Below are 18,441 nucleotides of genomic sequence, written 5' to 3'. Positions count from 1 at the left end.
TTTCCTGAACTCCCTCAGTATAAAGGTATGTTACAATGTTCATTATTTAGTAAGGAAGAAATAGAAACAAAGTTAATGTCCCACCCTAGGGGGCCCATTATGGTAAATCCATACAAATGGAATAATATATAGTCATTTACAATAAATTTTTAAAATACAAATATTTGTTGATAAGGAGAAAATTTCACAATATAATGTTAAATTAACAAGCTACAAACTAAAATGGTTATATCGTATTATAGCATAGTGCTGTGCATATGTATTTGTGTGTATGTGTGAAAAACTGAAGGAGTAAAAACCACGTTAAAAATATATCCCTGGAACAAAAATGATCTTCGCCAGCATTAAGAAGAAGGCAGAAAGGGCAGACTTGATAGCTTATCTCAAAAAAGCTGCTAACGAGTACTAATTGGCCATTGCTTATTTATTACAAAACAGAAATGTCTTATGACTTTTTTATGTGTACCATAATTTAATGAATCTCATATACCAGAATTTAGATCATGAGTGACTGATGAATATTTTTGTTGGGCAGTCCTGATTTAACTAAGACTGACTGGCTTGTGGTTAAATGAGTACGTTCAGTTTTTTGAATTTGAATAGTAATTCCAATCCAGTAAATGCTGTCACTATTCCCCTTTTAAAGATATGACTGGACTTCACTAGTAGGGTCAACTTTTCGCAAAGATGGTGAATGTCATCTTAAAATCTATTGGAGATTGGTTTTATATATAGATTTATATAACTGGTTATGGGAATATATTTAAATACTGGGGAAATTCCTTCATTGTCTCAGAACCAAGCAAGACTCACTTGTGTTTTGTATTCATCTGCATCTTAAAGGCAAAGGCTGAAGATAAGCTAGCAATGTGTACTTTATATTTTTGGTCTTAACTATGCCAATCTAATTAGAATTCCCTGTATCTAAAATGGTTCTTTTTACTTACTGAAAGGCATTTTAGTGTGATTTATGTGTAATATCAAATACAGAACATTTAACACTTCTCAAAACAAAAACAATGGTTGTCATTGGTGAGGGTAAAGGAAAAATTTGATTTTTTTCCTAAAGCTTTCTTATATAATTGAGATATTTTAAAGCAAATCCAGGACATTATATCATTTCATTCTAGAATTTTTTTTTTTTTTTTTTTTTTTTTGAGAAGGAGAGTCTCGCTCCACCCACCGGGCTGGAGTGCAGTAGCGTGATCTCAGCTCACTGCAACCTCCGCCTCCCGGGTTCAAGCGATTCTCCTGCCTCAGTCCCCGAGTAGCTGGGACTACAGGCGTGCGCCGCCACATCCAGGTAATTTTTGTATTTTTAGTACAGACGGGGTTTCACCATATTGGTCAGGCTGGTCTTGAACTGTTGACCTCGTGATCCACCCACCTCAGCCTCCCAAAGTGCTGGGATTACAGGTGTGAGCCACCACGCCCAGCCGGCTAGAATATTTTTTAAATAAGTTTTTAGGAGGAGAAACTCAAGGAGTACTATCATGTAGATTTCCATGTATTAGTAATTGATTTAGAGTTATTGGTTGATTGACGCAGGGTTTATTTGCATATGAACTTGCCTACATCTTGCAAATACTATATTGCTTCCCTGGTAGAATCCCTACAAGTTGGAAATCACTATCTTAAGGCATGAAGTATCCATTGGGAGAGGTTGTGAATAATTTTCAACCACTTATACCTCATGCTGAATAAATTACAGATTTTTCTAAGGGGAGGTATTTTTTAAATTAACTTAGTTCATTAAGGTATAATTTACATCAGCAAAATGCACAGATCTAAAGTTGACAAGTTTTGACAAATGTATACACCTGTGTAATCAACACCCAGTCATGATATAGAACATTTTCTTCACCCCAGAAAGTTCCCTGGAGTCCTTTTCCAATAATCTTCTGCCCCTCCCTACTCCAGCAGAGCCAGAGGCCCATCTCTATTCCAATTCTTATCACCACATATAGGTTTTGCCTGTTTTTGAGGATAGGTTTTTGATCCACAGCAGCAGTTCTCCAAGGGTGGTCCTTGTACCAGCAGTCTCAACATTACCTAGGAACTTTCAAGAAATACAAATTTTGGGGCCTCAGCTACAGAGTCAGAAACTCAAAAGGAGGGCCAGATGTATTTTTACAAACCTTCCAGGTGATTCTGATGCATGTTCATCTTTGAGAACCACTGATGTAGAGGAGTGTAAGAACTAACTGTTCTTGGGGAGGACAATGCTGGTTGTGTGTTGTGGAGTGAGTGGGAGGGAGCTAGCAGGGGGCCCTAAAGACACATAGCTTGGGTAACACCAAAAGGAAGGAGGAAAGATCAGGCATTTGTTTCAGAATTTTACATTTTTGTCTTGCAAAGTAATAATTGAGTTTTGCAGGCTCTTCTTTAAAATTTCAAAGGTCAAGATGAAAGTCAACAATTTATCAGAATAAAAGCATCAACTTTCATATGAGTTCTAAATTCTTTGTGGAAACACTGGTTATCAGAAGCTTTGATTGGCAGGCAAATGTGCCCTTTTAAATTGAAAAATGAGTGAAATAAATGTGCTTATGAATAAACATTTGGTTGATAGACAGAATCTTTTATAAAATCTTCTTTTCTTGGAAGGAAAAATAATAGATATATCTCTTGATGTTGAAATGGTTGAAACCCAGGTCCTAAATCTGTGTTCACAAACCACAATTTCTATCTACAGAATAATCGAGAAGCAGTATCAAGGACAAAAAACCAAACACTGCATGTTCTCACTCATAGGTGGGAATTGAACAATGAGAACACATGGACACAGGAAGGGGAACATCACACACCGGGGCCTGTTGTGGGGTGGGGGGAGGGGGGAAGGATAGCATTAGGAGATATACCTAACGTTAAATGACGAGTTAATGGGTGCAGCACACCAACATGGCACATGTATACATATGTAACAAACCTGCATGTTGTGCACATGTACCCTAAAACTTAAAGTATAAAAAAAAAAAAAAGACTGTTAGTACACTTACCAAATGTTAAGTTTCCCTAGAGAGGAGAAGAAGGTCCAGGTATATAGCCAGCTGTTTTCCATAGCTCCCTTGTGAGGTTCAAGATGAGAAGATTGGTGAAAGGAACTAATTCAAGTTGCACCTGGATATGAGTGGTGTTTTTGGCACGCACTTGGTTGTGTTAACGCATAGCACTGTTGTACTGGAGCTTCTGAATCACACCAGCTCAGAAGTGTGTTTCCTGTCTTGAATGTTTGCGGGAAATCCAGAAACATATGGTGTATGTACCTAGACTCTCAGCAGCATTATTGCGGTTTTCCTGAGCCAGATTCTAGCCCATATCGTTTTGAAAATTAATTCTGAAGAAGATCTTATGAGTCTGGTGGGATCTGAGTTTAGCCTGAAGTTCCTCCTTCTCTACTTCCAAAACAGTTTCCCTGTGTTCCTTAGATAGATTTATGTGAGACTGAAAGTATTAATCAGTCCTTTCATAGTGTTTGCTGAACAGCCTTCCAGTAGATCCTGGTGGAAGAAAACAGTGGGGCATCCAGCATGAGTCATGGGCAGCTGAGAAAGGTGGAAAGTCCAGGCCTTTTGCCTTTGAGATACCAGCTGGAATTTGGTCCAGCCTGACATAACTGAGGTGGATGACTTTGGTTCATTCTTCACCTACATGATTCTCCCCTACTCACCCTGCGGAGGATGCATCTGAATTTGTGGCAAGGGTTTCAGATAACTGCTTGTCCCGAATTGCCATATAGGTGAAATAAGCACTTGATCTCCTAGGCTCCTTGACTCAGAGAGTCAAGGTAGTTTTGGTCAAAATGTGTCACTCTGTGCTGTCTTCCTGAAGTACAGCCACACACTTCTTCATTCAAAATCTCTCTCATATAAAAGGATATGCATAGCAATGAGCGTCTTTAAGAAAGTGCTGACCGGGCGTGGTGGCTCACACCTGTAATCCCAGGACTTTGGGAGGCCGAGGCGGGCAGGTCACGAGGTCAAGAGATCAAGACCATCCTGGCCAACATGGTGAAACCCTGTCTGTACTAAAAATACAAAAATTAGCTGGGCATGGTGGCACGCGCCTGTAGTCCCAGCTGCTCAGGAGGCTGAGGCAGGAGAATCGCTTGAACCGGGGAGGCGGAGGTTGCAGTGAGCCAAGATCACACCACTGCACTCCATCCAGCCTGGTGACAGAATGAGACTCTGTCTCAAAAAAAAAAAAGAAAGAAAGGAAAGTGCTACCAAACTACAAGCTGCGAGGCCAGTCAGGGTGGCTTAAAGCACAAGTCGTATTTTTTATTATTTTCTATTTTCATCATTTCTCAGTCTATCTTCTTTTTTTTTTCTTTTGAGACACAGTCTTGCTCTGTCACCCAGGCTGGAGTGCAGTGGCGCAATCTCGGCTCACTGCAAGCTCCACCTCCCGGGTTCACGCCATTCTCCTGCCTCAGCCTCCCGAGTAGCTGGGACTACAGGCGCCTGCCACCACGCCCAGCTAATTTTTTGTATTTTAGTAGAGACAGGGTTTCACCGTGTTAGCCAGGATGGTCTCAATCTCCTGACCTCATGATCCGCCCGCCTTGGCCTCCCAAAGTCTATCTTCTTTTAAGCAATATGCTTCTTAGGTAACTTGACTGCCTAAAGACTAAAGGAAAACAACCTGTAAAATTAGAAGAGGAAATTTGAATTTGAATTTTTTTTAATTGTAACATTACTTTGATGCAGCAGTTCCACTTCTAGAGGTCTATCCTAAAGAAATAAGATAGGTACAAAAATGTGCATTTGAGACTGTTCATTGAAGCATTATTTATAATCATGAAAAGTTGGAACCAACATAAATATCTGTCTAATGATTAAATAATGTCTGCTACCAAAGATTGAAGTAGATTATAGTATTAATGTGGAAAGAGCTGTAATATTTAAAGAAAAAAAGAAAAAGACTTCTGGTTTCTGGCCCAGCATGTCAGGAGTTTAGAAGTTACTGCTCCATCATAACAAGTAAAAAGCTGAACAAACTGACACATCCACAGCTCTTCTTAGATCCATCAGCAAAGTGAGGTCACAGGGCAAACTGCTGTCCCTAGAATTGGAGAAACAGGTAAAAACAGATAATCACAAGTTACCTAAGCAGAACAATTGGAAGAAACCAGTGCCAGGGTAGGAAAACGTAGCTGTAATTGATGAATTGCTGGAAGCTCAGGGTGGACAAGTTTGTGAGTTAAAAACTCCAGGGGGACCCAGTCATCAAGGGGCCCCCATGCTTTTGGAAGTTTTACCTCCAGGAGCTCTATCAGGTCCTTACAGAAAATATCAGAGAAAAATCTTTTGCTTCCAGCAAACAGAGAGGAAAAAGAACCATTTTGAAATACCCCAGAATATTCTGTTCTTCTTAACAAGGCCTGTGATCAGGAACAAAATATTTTTTCAGAGCCTGACCTGCTGGAGGGAGGGAAATTCCCAACTCCAGCTCCCTGTAGCCATCCTCTCTCACCTAGATGGGAGGGGAAAAATGAGAAGCACTGATGAAGTTCACAGTCCAGGGGCACATGCTGACAAAAGACTGAGACCTAGTCATGGGACTCTAGAACACTTCCTCTCCCCTCCACAGCTTCCCACCACATTCCCAAAGGCCTGTTTACCACAGTGGCTTTTGCTCAGAACATCATGTCCACTTTTCAACAAAAATTACGAGGCATTCTAAAAGACAAAAGATACAGTTTGAAAAGACTGAAAACAAGCATCAGAGCTAGACTCAGATAGGGCGGGAACATTGAATTTATTAGACCAGGAATTTTAAAATGCTATGATAACTATGCTCAGGGCATTAATGGGAGAATTAGATGACATACAAGAACAGATGGGTAATAGCAACAGAGAGGTGGCAATTCTAAGGAATCAAAAAGAAATGTGAGAGATCAAGAGCACTGTAACAGAAATAGGCTCATCAGTAGACTGGACACAGCTGAGGAGAAAATATCTGCGGTTGAAGATATGGCAATAGAAACTTCCAAAACTGAAAAACAAAGAGAAATAAAAGACAAAAAAAGAGAACAGAATATCCAAGAACTATGGGGTACCACAAAAATTATAACACACACATAATGGAAGTATCAGAAGGAGAAGGAAGAAAGGAACAGAAGCAATATTTGAAATCGTAATGACCAAGAATTTCATCAAATTAATGTCGGACAACCAACCACAGATCTGGGGAGCTCAGAGTACACCAAGTAGGATAAATACCCAAAAAACTACACCCTGGCATATCATTAACAAACTACAAAAAAATTTAAAGATAAATTTAAAATCTTGGAAGAATCTAGAGGAAAAAACCCTACCTTATCTATGGACGAGCAAAAGTAAGAATTATATGCAATTCCTCCTCTGAAACCATGCAAGAAAGAAGACAGTGTAAGGCCGGGTGTGGTGGCTTATGCCTTAAATCCCAGCACTTTGGGAGGCTGAGGCAGGCAGATCACCTAAGGTCAGGAGTTCGAGACCTGCCTGGCCAACATGGTGAAACCCCATCTCTACTAAAAATACAAAAAAAGTAGCCAGGTGTGGTGGTGTGTGCCTGTAGTCCCAGCTACTCAGTAGGCTGAGGCAGGAGAATCGCTTAAACCCAGGAGGTGGAGGTTGCAGTGAACTGAGATCACGCCACTGCACTCCAGCCAAGGAGATAGAGCGAGACTCCATCTCAAAAAAAAAAAAAAAAAAAAAAAAAGAGGGTAATAAAATATTTAAAGTGTTAAGAGGAAAAAAAACCCCATTAACCTAAAATTGTATGCCCTAAGAAATTGTCCTTCAAAAGTGAAAGAGAAATAAAGGCTTTCTCAAACAAACAAAAAATGAGAGAATTTGTGGCCAGTAGACCTGTCTTGCAAGAAGTGTTAAAAGAAGTTCTTTAGGGAGCAGGGAAATGATATAGGTCAGAAACTCAGACCTATGTAAATAAAGGAAGAACATCAGAGAATAAATAAGTGAAGGTGAAGTAAAAACTTACTTTTTTGTATTCTTAGTGATCAGAGAGATAATAGTTTGTACAAAATAATAGCAGCAATTCAATAGTGAACTGAATGACACCAATGATACAGGGGGCAGGAGGAATTAGGCATATTTTGTTATTATAAGGTACTTGCACTACCTGTGAAGTATAGTATAGTGTTATTTGAAAGTGGAGTTGGACTTGTAAATGTGTATTGCAACCACCAGGGCAACAACTAAAAAAGATAAAGAATAAAAATAAAAAAACAAGTATAATTGATACGTTAAGAAAGGAAAGAAAATGGAATTATATAAAATGCTCAATTAAAACCATAAAAGACTTAAAAAACATAGAAGACAAAAATAGAAACAGAAAATACGGTAACAAATAGAAAACAATAACAATTATAGTGGTTATCCAATTATATCAATGATCACTTTAGACATCAATGGTCTAGATACACTAATTAAAAGGCAGGTATTATCAGAGTGTGTTAAAAAACAAGACCTAACTATATGTTGTCTATAAGAAACCCACTGTAAGTATAAAGACACATATAGATAAAAAGTAAAGGGAGCTGGGTGTGGTGGCTCACGCCTGTAATCCCAGCACTTTGGGAGGCCAAGGCGGGTGGATCACGAGGTCAGGAGATCGAGACCATCCTGGCTAACACGGTGAAACCCTGTCTCTACTAAAAAAAAAAAAAATACAAAAAATTAGCCTAGTGTAGTGGCAGGCACCTGTAGTCCCAGCTACTCAGGAGGCTGAGGCAGGAGAATGGCATGAACCTGGGAGGCAGAGCTTGCAGTGAGCCGAGATCACACCACTGCACTCCAGCTTGGGTGACAGAGCAAGACTCCGTCTCAAAAAACAAAAAGGAAAGGGATGGAGAAAGATATACCATGCTAACACTAATCAAAATAAAGTGGGAGTAGCTATACTCATTTTAGATAGAGCAGACTTCAGATCAAGAAAAGTTATCAGGGATAAAGAGAAGAATTACATAATGGTAAAGAGGTCAATATTCTAAGAAGACATAACCATCTTTAATGTATATGTGCCTAACAACAGGATGCCAAAATACATGAGGAAAAACTGATAGAACTGCAAGGATAAATAGATGAATCCACTGTTGTAGTTGGAGATTTAAACACCCCTCTGTCAGAAATGGACAGATCTGGCAGGCAGATCAGCAAGCACATAGTTGAACTTGACAGCCAATTTAGTTAACTAGATATAATTGACATATTTAGACTACTTTATCCAACAACAGCTGATTACACATTCTTCTCAGGCTCACATGGAACATTTGCTAGGATCAACCACATCCTGGGCCGTAAAACACAAATTAACAAATTTTAAAGAATAGGAATATGATGTCTGCTCTCAGACCACAGTGGAATTAAGGTAGAAAACAATAACAGAATGATAGCTGGAAAATCCCAAAGTCCTTGGAGATTAAACAACATACTTTTAAATAATGCATGGGTCAAAGAAGATATCTCAAGAGAATTTTAAAATATTTTTAACCACATGAGAATGAAAATACTTTTCAAAAGTTGTGAGAAGCAGTGCTTAGAGGCAAACTTATAGCAGTGAATACATATATTAGAAAAAAAGAAAGATCTAAAATCAATAATCTTAGCCTCCACTTTAGAAAACTCAAAAAAGAAGAGCAAGTTAAATATAAATTAAACAGAAGAAAAGAAATACAGTATTCATTGACTAACAGCAGGGATACATTTTGAGATATGCATTGTAGATGATTTTGTCATTGTGTGAACATCGTAGAGTGTACTTACACAAACCTAGATGGTATAGCCTACTGGCACCTACACTAATGGTACAGCCTGTTGTTCCTTGGCTACAAACCTGTACAGTGTGTTACTGTACTGAATACTGTAGGCAACTGTAACACAATGGTAGGTATTTGTGTATCTAAACATAGAAAAGGTACAGTAAAAATACAGTATAAAAGGTAAAACAAACAAAAAATGGACCAGGCACAGTAACTCATGCCTGTGATCCCAGCACTTTGGGAAGCTGAGAAGGGAGGATCATTTGAGCCCAAGAGTTTGAGACCAGCCTGGGCAACATATGGAAACCCTGTCTCTCCAAAGGGGGAAAAAAATATCTAGGCAGGGTGGCACGTGCTCTTGGTCTCAGCTACACAGGAGGATTGCTTGAGAGTCCAAGAGGTCAGTGAGCCACGATCATGTCACAGCATTCCAGCCTGGGCAACAGAGTGAGATTTTATCTCAAATCTCCCCACCCCCAAAACAAAAACCAAACAAATGCAAAAAAAAAAAAAAAAAGATGAAAATGATACATCTGTATAGGGCATTTACCATGCATGGCGCTTGCAGCACTGGACGTTGCCATGGTTGAGTCAGTGAATGAATGTTCAGTGAATGTGAAGGCCTAGGACGTTACTGTATACTACTGCAGACTTTATAAACACTGTACACTTAGACTACACTAAATTTATGAAAATATTTTTTCATCAGTAATAAATTAGCTTTAGTTTATTGTAACTTTATAAATTTTTAATTTTTTAAAACTTGTTGACTTTTTCATAATAACAGAGCTTAAAAACACATTGTACAACTGTACAAACATTTTCTTTCTTTATATCCTTATTCTATACTTTTTTTATTTTTTAAATTTATTATTATTATTATTATTTGCTGGGTGTGCTGGCTCATGCCTGCAACCCCAGCACTTTGGAAGGCCTGAGGCAGGAGGATCTCTTGAGGCCAGGAGTTAAAGAACAACCTGGGCAACATAGTAAGACCCTATGTCTACAAAAAAAAAAAAAAATTTTTTTTTTGAGGCAAAGTCTTGCTCCGTCAGTGAGGCTGGAGAGCAGTGGCACAACCTCGACTCATTGCAACCTCTGCCTCCTGGGTTCAAGCTATTCTCCTGCCTCAGCCTCCCGAGTAACTGAGATTACAGGCATGCACCACCACGCCTGGATAATTTTTTTTTGTATTTTTAGTATAAAAAGTAATTTTAGGGTTTCACCATGTTGGCCAGGCTGGTCTTTGACTCCTCACCTTAAGTGATCCATCTGCTTCAGCCTTCCAAAGTGTTGGGATTACAGGCATGAGCCACTGCACCTGGCCAAAAAAAATTTTTTTAATTAGCTGGGCACAGATGCATGTGCCTATAGTCCCAGCTATTCAGGAAACTGGGGCAAGAGGATCACTTGAGCCCAGGAGTTCAAGATTACAGTGAGCCATGATCATGCCACTGCACTCCAACGTGAGTGACAGAGCAAGACCATGTCTCAAAAAAATTTTTTTTTAACTTTTTAAACTTTATTGTTAAAAACTAAGACACAAACATGCACATTAGCCTAGGCTTACACAGGGTTAGGATCACCAATATCACTGTTTGACACCTTCACGTCTTGTCCCAGTAGAAAGTCTTCAGGGGCAGTAAGACACATGGAGCTGTCATCTCCTATTATAACAATGCCTTCTCTGGAATATCTCTTGAAGGACCTGCCTGAGGCTGCTTTAGTTAACTTTTTAAAAATAAGTAGTAGTACACTCTAAAATAATGATTAAAGTATAGTATGGTAAATATATAAACCAGTAACATAGTCATTTAGTATCATTATTGAGTATTTTGTACTGTACATAATTGTATGTGCTATACTTTTATACAGTTGGCAGTGCAACAGGTTTGTTTACACCAGCATCACCACAAACACATAAATAATACATTGCTCTATGATTTTACAATGGCTACATCACTAGGTGATAAAAATTTTTCAGCTCCATTATAATCTTACGAGACTACCATCATATATTCAGTTCCTCCTTGACCAAAATGTTGTTATGTGGCACATGACTGTAATAAAAATTAGAGTAGAAATCAGTAAAATTACAAACATAAAATCAATGGAAAAAAATGTTGGTTTTTTGAAAAGAGCAATAAAATGGATAAGCCTCTAGCCAGACTATGAGAGAAGATGCAAATTACTAATATTGAAAATGAAACCCCAAAGCAAGCCGTAAAACTTGGAAATACTATTATAGCCTTCTCCCACCTTTCTGTGTAGCACCCAGCCTGAAAGAAATAACTTGACCTACCTTGTTTGGTAATAGGTCATAAGACCTATATTCCAGAGAGGTTCTGCCTATATCTAGGAGAAAATAATGCTACACAGAGAGGCCAACAAGAAGCTCAACAAACAAACCTTGCTGGGTTTCCCCCTTTAGTATATTACCATTAGATCATACCCCTTTTGTCCAATCACATTTCTACACAGCTGTCCATTCTTCTTTGAATCTAAACATAAAAATCAACAGTTTTCCCTGGTTCTTCGGGTATTGATTTCTGAAGGCTCATAGGTCACATAAAACTGATTAAACAATTGGTTATGCTTTTAAAAAAAAGAGGGGACATCACTACAGATCCTATGGACATTAAAAGGATAATAAAGGAATATTATGAACAACTCTATGCCTACAAATTTGATAACCTACATTAAATTGTCCCATTGTAGAGAAGAAATGGGCAATCTGAACAGGCCTATAGCTATTAAATAAATAAATAAATTGAATCAATAACTAATTACCTTCCAAAGAAAGCACAAGCCCAGAGCGTTCACTAGTGGATTCTGCCAAACATTTAAGGCAGACATTATGCCAATTCTCTACAACCTTCCAAAGAAAGCACCAAGCCCAGAGGGTTCACTAGTGGATTCTGCCAAACATTTAAGGCAGAAATTATGCCAATCCTCTACAACCTTCCAAAGAAAGCATCAAGCCCAGAGGGTTCACTAGTGGCAGAAATTATGCCAATTTTCTACAATCTTTTCCAGAAGTTAGCAGAAGGAATACTTTCTAAGCCATTCTATGAGGCTAGTATTACCCTAACACCAAAACCAAACAAAGACATTACAAAAAAGACTACAGACCGGGCCAGGCGCGGTGGCTCACGCCTGTAATCCCAGCACTTTGGGAGGCCGAGGCTGGCAGGTCACGAGATTGAGACCATCCTGGCTAACACGGTGAAACCCTGTCTCTACTAAAAATACAAAAAATTAGCCGGGCGTGGTGGTGGGCACCTGTAGTCCCAGCTACTCGGGAGGCTGAGGCAGGAAAATGGCATGATCCCGGGAGGCGGAGCCTGCAGTGAGCCAAAATCACGCCACTGCACTCCAACCTGGGCGACAGCAAGACTCCGTCTCAAAAAAAAACAAAACAACAACAAAAAAAAAACTACAGACCAATGTATCTCATGAACATAGATGCAATTATCTTCAACAAAATATTAGCAAACAAAATTCAACAATGTATACAAAGATTTGTACACCAAAACCAAGTGGGATTTATCCCAGGTGTGCAAGGCTAGTCTTCAAAATTAATATGGTCCATCACATCAAGAGGTTATGGAAGAAAAATCACATAATTATATTGATAGATGCAGAAAAGGCATTTGACAAAATCCAACACCCATTCATGATAAAAACTCCTAACAAACCAGGAATAGAGGGGAACTTCTTCAACTCAATAGAAAACATCTAAAAACAAAAACAAAAACAAAACAAAAAAACCTACAGCTAACATCATGATTAAGGGTAGAAATTTGAAGCTTTCTTACTAAGATCAGAAACAAGGCAAGATGTCTCTTTTCACCACTGCTTTTCAGCATTGTACTGGAAATCCTAGCTAATACAATAAAATAAGAAAAGAAAATATAGATTGCGAAGGAACAACTGAAACTGTCTTTGTCTGCAGATAACATGATTGTCTATGTACAAAATCTGAAAGAATCAACAACAACAAAAAGCTGGAACTAATAAGCAGTTATAGTAACAAACCCGCACGTTCTGCACATGTATCCCAGAACTTAAAGTATAATTTTTTTAAAAAAAGCAATTATAGCAGGATTGCAGGATACAAGGTTAACGTACAAAAGTTAATCACTTTCCTGTGGACCAGCAATTAAATAGTGAAATTTTAAATTAAAAACACATTACCAGTTGTGTGCAGTGGCTCATGCCTATAATCCCAAGACTTTGGAAGGCCGAGGTGGGAGGATCACTTAAACCCAAGAGGTCAAGGCTGCAGAGAGCCATGATCCCACCACTGCACTCCAGCCTGGGCGACAGAGTGAGACCCTATCTCAAAAAAACAAAAAAGCCAAAAAACACCATGTTACCATTTATATTAGCACCCCAAGGAAAAATGAAATTCTTAGGTATAAATCTAACAAATTACGTACAAGATCTGTAGATCTAGATGAAGAATACTGTAAAACTCTGATGAAATATATCAAAGAAGAACTAAATAAATGGAGAAATAGTCTATGTTCATGGATTGTGAAGATGTCAGTTTTTCCCAACTTGATCTATAGATTGAACACATCCCAATAAAAAATTCAGCAAGTTACTTTTACGGATATTAACCCATTTATGCCTCGTGTTCCATTGTTGGAATGCTAAGCTTGTGGGAGTTATTTATATCCTACTTCTCAAGGTCATCACCAAGGTCTGATTTTTGACACAAAAAAATTTGCAACCTCTGGCATAAATGGGTTAACAAACAAAGTCTGTAGTTTATATGGAGAGGTAATAGACCCAGAGTAACCAACTAAATATTGAAGGAGAAAAACAAAGTCAAAGGGCTGAACCTGTTGGACCTGAAGACATCTATAAAGCTACAGCAATCAAGATAGTGTGATATTGGTGAAAGAGCTGACAAATATCAATGGATCAGAGTAGAGAGCCCAGAAATAGACCCACATAAATATAGTTGATTCATCTTTGACTAAGGAGAAAAGGCAATACAATGAAGCAAAGATAGTCTCTTTTACATAACTGCTGGAACAATTGGACATCCACATGCAAAAACGATTACCTAGACGCAGACCTTACACCCTTCACAAAAATTAACTCGAGATGGACCATAGACCTAAATGTAAAACCCAAAACTGTAAGACTGCTAGAAGTTATCATAGGAGAAAACCTAAATGACCTTGGGTATGGCAATGACTTCTTAGACTAAAGGCATGATGCATGAAAGAAATAATTGATAAGCTGGGATTCATTAAAATTTAAAACTTCTGTTCTGCAAAAGACAATGTCTAGAGAATAAGATGGGTCACAGACTTGGGAAAATATTTGCAATCCAGAACACAAACCAACAAATGCTAGCAAGGATGTGGAGCAACAGGAACACTCATTCATTGCTGGTGGGAATGCAAAATGGTACAGCCATTTTGGAAGACAGTTTGGCAGTTCTTACAAAACTAAACATACTCTTCCCATACAATCCAGCAGTCACGCTCTTTGGTATTTACCCAAGTGAACCAGAAACTAATGTTCACACAAAAACCTGTAAATGGATGTGTATAGCAGCTTTATTCATTGTTGCCAAAACTCGGAAGCAACCAAGATGTACTTCAGTAGGTGAATAGATAAATAAACTGTGATACATCCAGACAATGGAATAATATTCAGTGCTAAAAAGAAATGAGCTCTCAAGCCATAAGAAGACATGGAGGAGCTTTAATTGCATGTTACTAAGTGAAAGAAGCCAATCTGAAAAGGCTACGTATTATGATTCCAACTATGTGAATTCTGGAAAAGGCAAACTATGGAGACAGTAAAAGGATCAGCTGTTGCAATCTTTAGGGAGAAGGAAGGTATAAATAAGCAGAGCACAGAGGACTTTGGGGCAGTGAAACTATTCTGTATGATACAATAATGGTAGATATGTGTCACTGTGCATTTGTCAAAGCCCATAGAATGTGCAACACTGAGTAAATTATGGTAACCTTGAGGTAAGTTATGGACTTTGGGTGATAATGAGGTATCAGTGGAGTTTCATCAGTTTTCACAAATGGACCACTCTGGTGCAGAATGCTAATAGTGGGAGAAGCTGTGTGCGTGGAAGGGTCGGGGGTATAGGGGAACTCTCTGTACTTTCTGCTCAACTTTGATGTGAACCTAAAAAATAATCAATTTTTTAAAAGCAGGGTACTCAATAATACATACGATATAAATCCCATTTATGTAAAAAAAAGAAATATGTATGTATTTGTATATATGTGTGTATATATATGTGTGTGTGTGTATATATATATATAGTGTGTGTGTGTGTGTAATTTTTGTGTATACCAAACTGATAACGGTGTTGCTGTTGGTGTTGAGGTTGTGGGCGGGGAAGGGGGGAAAGATACCCTCTGCTGTACTCTGTAGTCTGTAACATTTAGCCTTTGTCAGAGTTCCTATTCACTTATAAAATACGGCAAAAAGGAGCTTGCTGCTAGGTATGTATCTCCAGACCCTCCTTTCAAGGAAACATTAGAAGGTAACATTGTTTGGCAACTTTAAAATGCAAAGTTGCAGCACTTTATGTGGCGTTTATTCACGCAACAAGTATTTTTGAGTGCCTCTTCTATTCCAGGTATTCTGCCAGGCCTTGGAGTTGCCAGGGTGACCAAGAAACAGCCCCTGTGATCACAGTTGAGGGTACGGTGGGCGGCAGGGGAGAGTTGTGTTTTAAGTCTGTTTTCTCATAGGCTGAAAAAGTTCCGCACAGTTTGGAAAAGCTAACTGTGATTCCTTCTCCTCAGAGAAGCCGTGTGGAGACCCGCCTTCGTTCCCACACACCATCCTGCAGGGCCGCACCGGCTTGGAAATGGGGGATGAACTGCTGTACGTGTGTGCCCCAGGCCACATCATGGGCCACCGGGAGACCGCCTTCACCTTGCTATGTAACAGCTGTGGGGAGTGGTACGGCCTGGTGCAGGCCTGTGGGAAAGGTAAGCAGCCCAGGGATGGGCCACCTTCGCGTGCCCACGCAGTGCTGGCTGAGGGCTCCACTGCTGCTGGCTGCATGCGGTGGGCTCTTCTCCACCAAGGTGCCTTTGAAAAGAGGCTTTCAGACCTTTATCCTGAGCTCTGGACCTAGCAACATCTCCACTTGGGGATTCCTGTAGCATTTCAAATGCACAACTGAGCTCTTCATCTTCCATGCTGGGAGTAAAGGGTTAACAAGTTAAAATCCCCACTTCTCTAAGTACACAGTTGACCTTGAGTTAACTTTCTAGTTTATTTCCCTGGAAACCTGGTCAAGTCGGAACATCAGCTGTGGTACAAAGCAGCATTGCTTCTGGTGAAAATGACCCCCAATTGGTAAACTGGGCTGGGAAGACTATAATGAATATGTGTTAGGAAGCCCAGCTCTGGGCTGCCCTGAGGGTGGTGATTCTTGTATCTGAGCATGACCTTTGTGAGGACCCTGAGAACTATTCTGTGGGTTGTTGCAAGACATTCAGACTCTTATGGGGCATGGGGCTTCCAAGCACTATTGATCCACACCACACATATGAGTTCTGATCCACCTGAGCAATCTTGGGAGGAAAGCAGGGGTGGTGAGGGGTGGAGCGAGGAGACGAACTCCAGGACGGCTGTATGGAACTGCTGCAAGGGCTATTCCCACGGATGAGACTTGCTTGCTGCTTCCCAGTGGCCTTGCTCTGCTCCCTGGCCTGGAGCCTTCTGAATGCCAGGAGTGACCTGTGGAGTCTGAATAGTTAGTTGAAACTAAAAAGAGTCCTAGTGGACACTGAGTTCCCCAAACCTGATCTGATTTCCCCAGATGTCCCCATTCCATCAACATCACATTTCTAGGAGTCCCAGGTTACTGCAGCCTCCTTAACCCCTGCTGCCCAGCCCCTTGGGAATTTCTCCAGCAGCAGAAATCGCTGTGTCCAGCCACAGCCAGGCCTGGCCTCCCCACCCCAACAGGGACGCAGCAGCCAGCAGGCGATTGGGGCAGCCCCATGGCTGACCTGGCTTGTGACTCCTATACCTCGGACCTCATGCTAGACCCTGAATTGTTCCCTTATCTCACAGTGCTCCTCTCACTCCAAGACTTTTTCAAGAACCCCCTCCCTGACCTCCCATGACATCTAGGTACCAAGCAGAGTTTGGTTCTATAGAGGGAAATAACTCCAGCACCATGATGTTACTGAACTTATAGGACAGTTTGTCCCTGGAATGTCCTGCAGATCCCATGAGAGAACTCAGATGAGACCTAGGGTGCTGTCACACCTGTGAGATTCATTCACGTTGTTGCCTGAAGCTGTGGTTTCACTGCTACTATAGTCTTCACTGCTATTTACTATCCACAGTGTGAATACACCACTATTTATTTATCCAATCAGCTGTTGGTGGACATTTTGCTTATTTTCATTTTGTGGCTGTCACAAACTATGCTGCTATAATTGTCCTTAGCCTCCTTTGGTTCCCATGTGAACACATTTCAGTTGGTTCCTAGCAGTAGAATTGCTGCCCATGGAGTATGTGTGTGTTCAGCTGCAGCTGATGCTGCCAAAGTGTTCTCTAAAGTATTTGCCCAGTCTGCTCTCCCATCAGCTGTGTCTGAGAGTCCTTGTCGTTCAGCACCTCATCAGCTTTAGGACTGCCAGTCTGGTGACAGCTCTGTGGTGATTTGTAGTCGTAATATTCATTTCTCTGATAATAGTGAGGTCAAGCACTTATCACATGTTAATAGGGCATTAGAATTTCTTTGTGTAAAATGTCCAGGTACTTTTCCCATTTTTCTAATTGATTTGAATTTGATCATTTACATATTATAGAATTTTTACATGAAATATTCATAATTAATGTGTTGCAAGTATTTTCTCTCATTCTGTGGCTTATCTTTTCAAACTCACAGTGTCTTTTAATGAGTTGGTTTTGTAGTTTTCTATTTCACTACTTTTCAAATTCTTTGTGAACTCTTACACATTTTTTGTAGTCATTAGCTGATTAATACTTCGTAAAATGCAATAAAAATGAATTAATATAAAATAAAATAGATTCTAAATATAAGCACAATCTGTGTTAAATTAAGTAGACATAAAATTCCCCTGTCAAATTGTTGCAAAAGTTTCTAAAAACTTTCTGGGTGTTTCTACTTGCCTTGTTGCATACCTAATAACAAGTTACAGACTGGGACAAGTGCTGAAAGCACAGTTTGAGCAATGTTCTAGAACTTTCCTCATCTTTCTTCTGTTCCTGTTGCTTTGTGCCAGGCGGGAGCTACTTGCCAATTCTGATCATTCACCTGCCCAAGAAAATCAAGCATAAGCACCAAGCTTCCTGTTGGTCCAATATGTCGCCTTGAAGCAGGCCCATACCCACCCTGAGTTGTTAATGTTCCAGTGAGGTGCTGAAGTTGCACCATCTCATGAGCCACACCCACAGCCAAATGGGTTGTTTGCTAGCCCTAGTTGAATGAGCACTAAATGCAGGTTTTGCGGGTCCAAAATGATCTTTATGTTCCCACTGCAATGCAGTTGTTAAAGCTTTAAGCTGCTGGGCAGGAATTCTGGTTTATATGCTTGGGCTGGATATACAGATTGTTAACAGTGTCTGAGAGTTTAACATTTAAGCTATCTGTGTCCTTGTAAGAAGAGTGTGTGTGTGTGTGTGTGTGTGTGTGT

General features: G+C 39.9%; 1 protein-coding gene across 2 annotated transcripts in view, besides 1 other annotated feature; it reads left to right on the top strand.

The window, feature by feature from the left end:
- SUSD5 (sushi domain containing 5) overlaps positions 1-18,441 on the top strand; it is a 68,768-nt gene that overhangs the window by 28,175 nt on the left and 22,152 nt on the right. Inside the window, exon 4 of one of the 2 annotated variants that reach the window (NM_015551.2) lies at positions 15,562-15,750. The exons of the other annotated variant lie outside the window; for it this stretch is intronic. Within the exon in view, the coding sequence (NP_056366.1) occupies positions 15,562-15,750 (189 nt within the window). The remainder of the gene's footprint in view (positions 1-15,561; positions 15,751-18,441) is intronic. 2 annotated transcript variants of the gene reach the window in all.
- Positions 3,365-3,659: an enhancer, noted in NCBI's record as "tiled region #10469; HepG2 Activating DNase matched - State 5:Enh". NCBI's record gives its function as "activates a minimal TATA promoter and a strong SV40 promoter by Sharpr-MPRA in HepG2 cells {active_cell/tissue: HepG2}" and the evidence as "EXISTENCE:reporter gene assay evidence [ECO:0000049][PMID:27701403]".

Source organism: Homo sapiens, chromosome 3 (assembly GCF_000001405.40).
Source record: "Homo sapiens chromosome 3, GRCh38.p14 Primary Assembly".
Lineage (NCBI taxonomy): Eukaryota > Metazoa > Chordata > Mammalia > Primates > Hominidae > Homo > Homo sapiens.
Note: the sequence above shows the minus strand (reverse complement) of the source record. Positions and strands in the feature narration are given on the sequence as shown.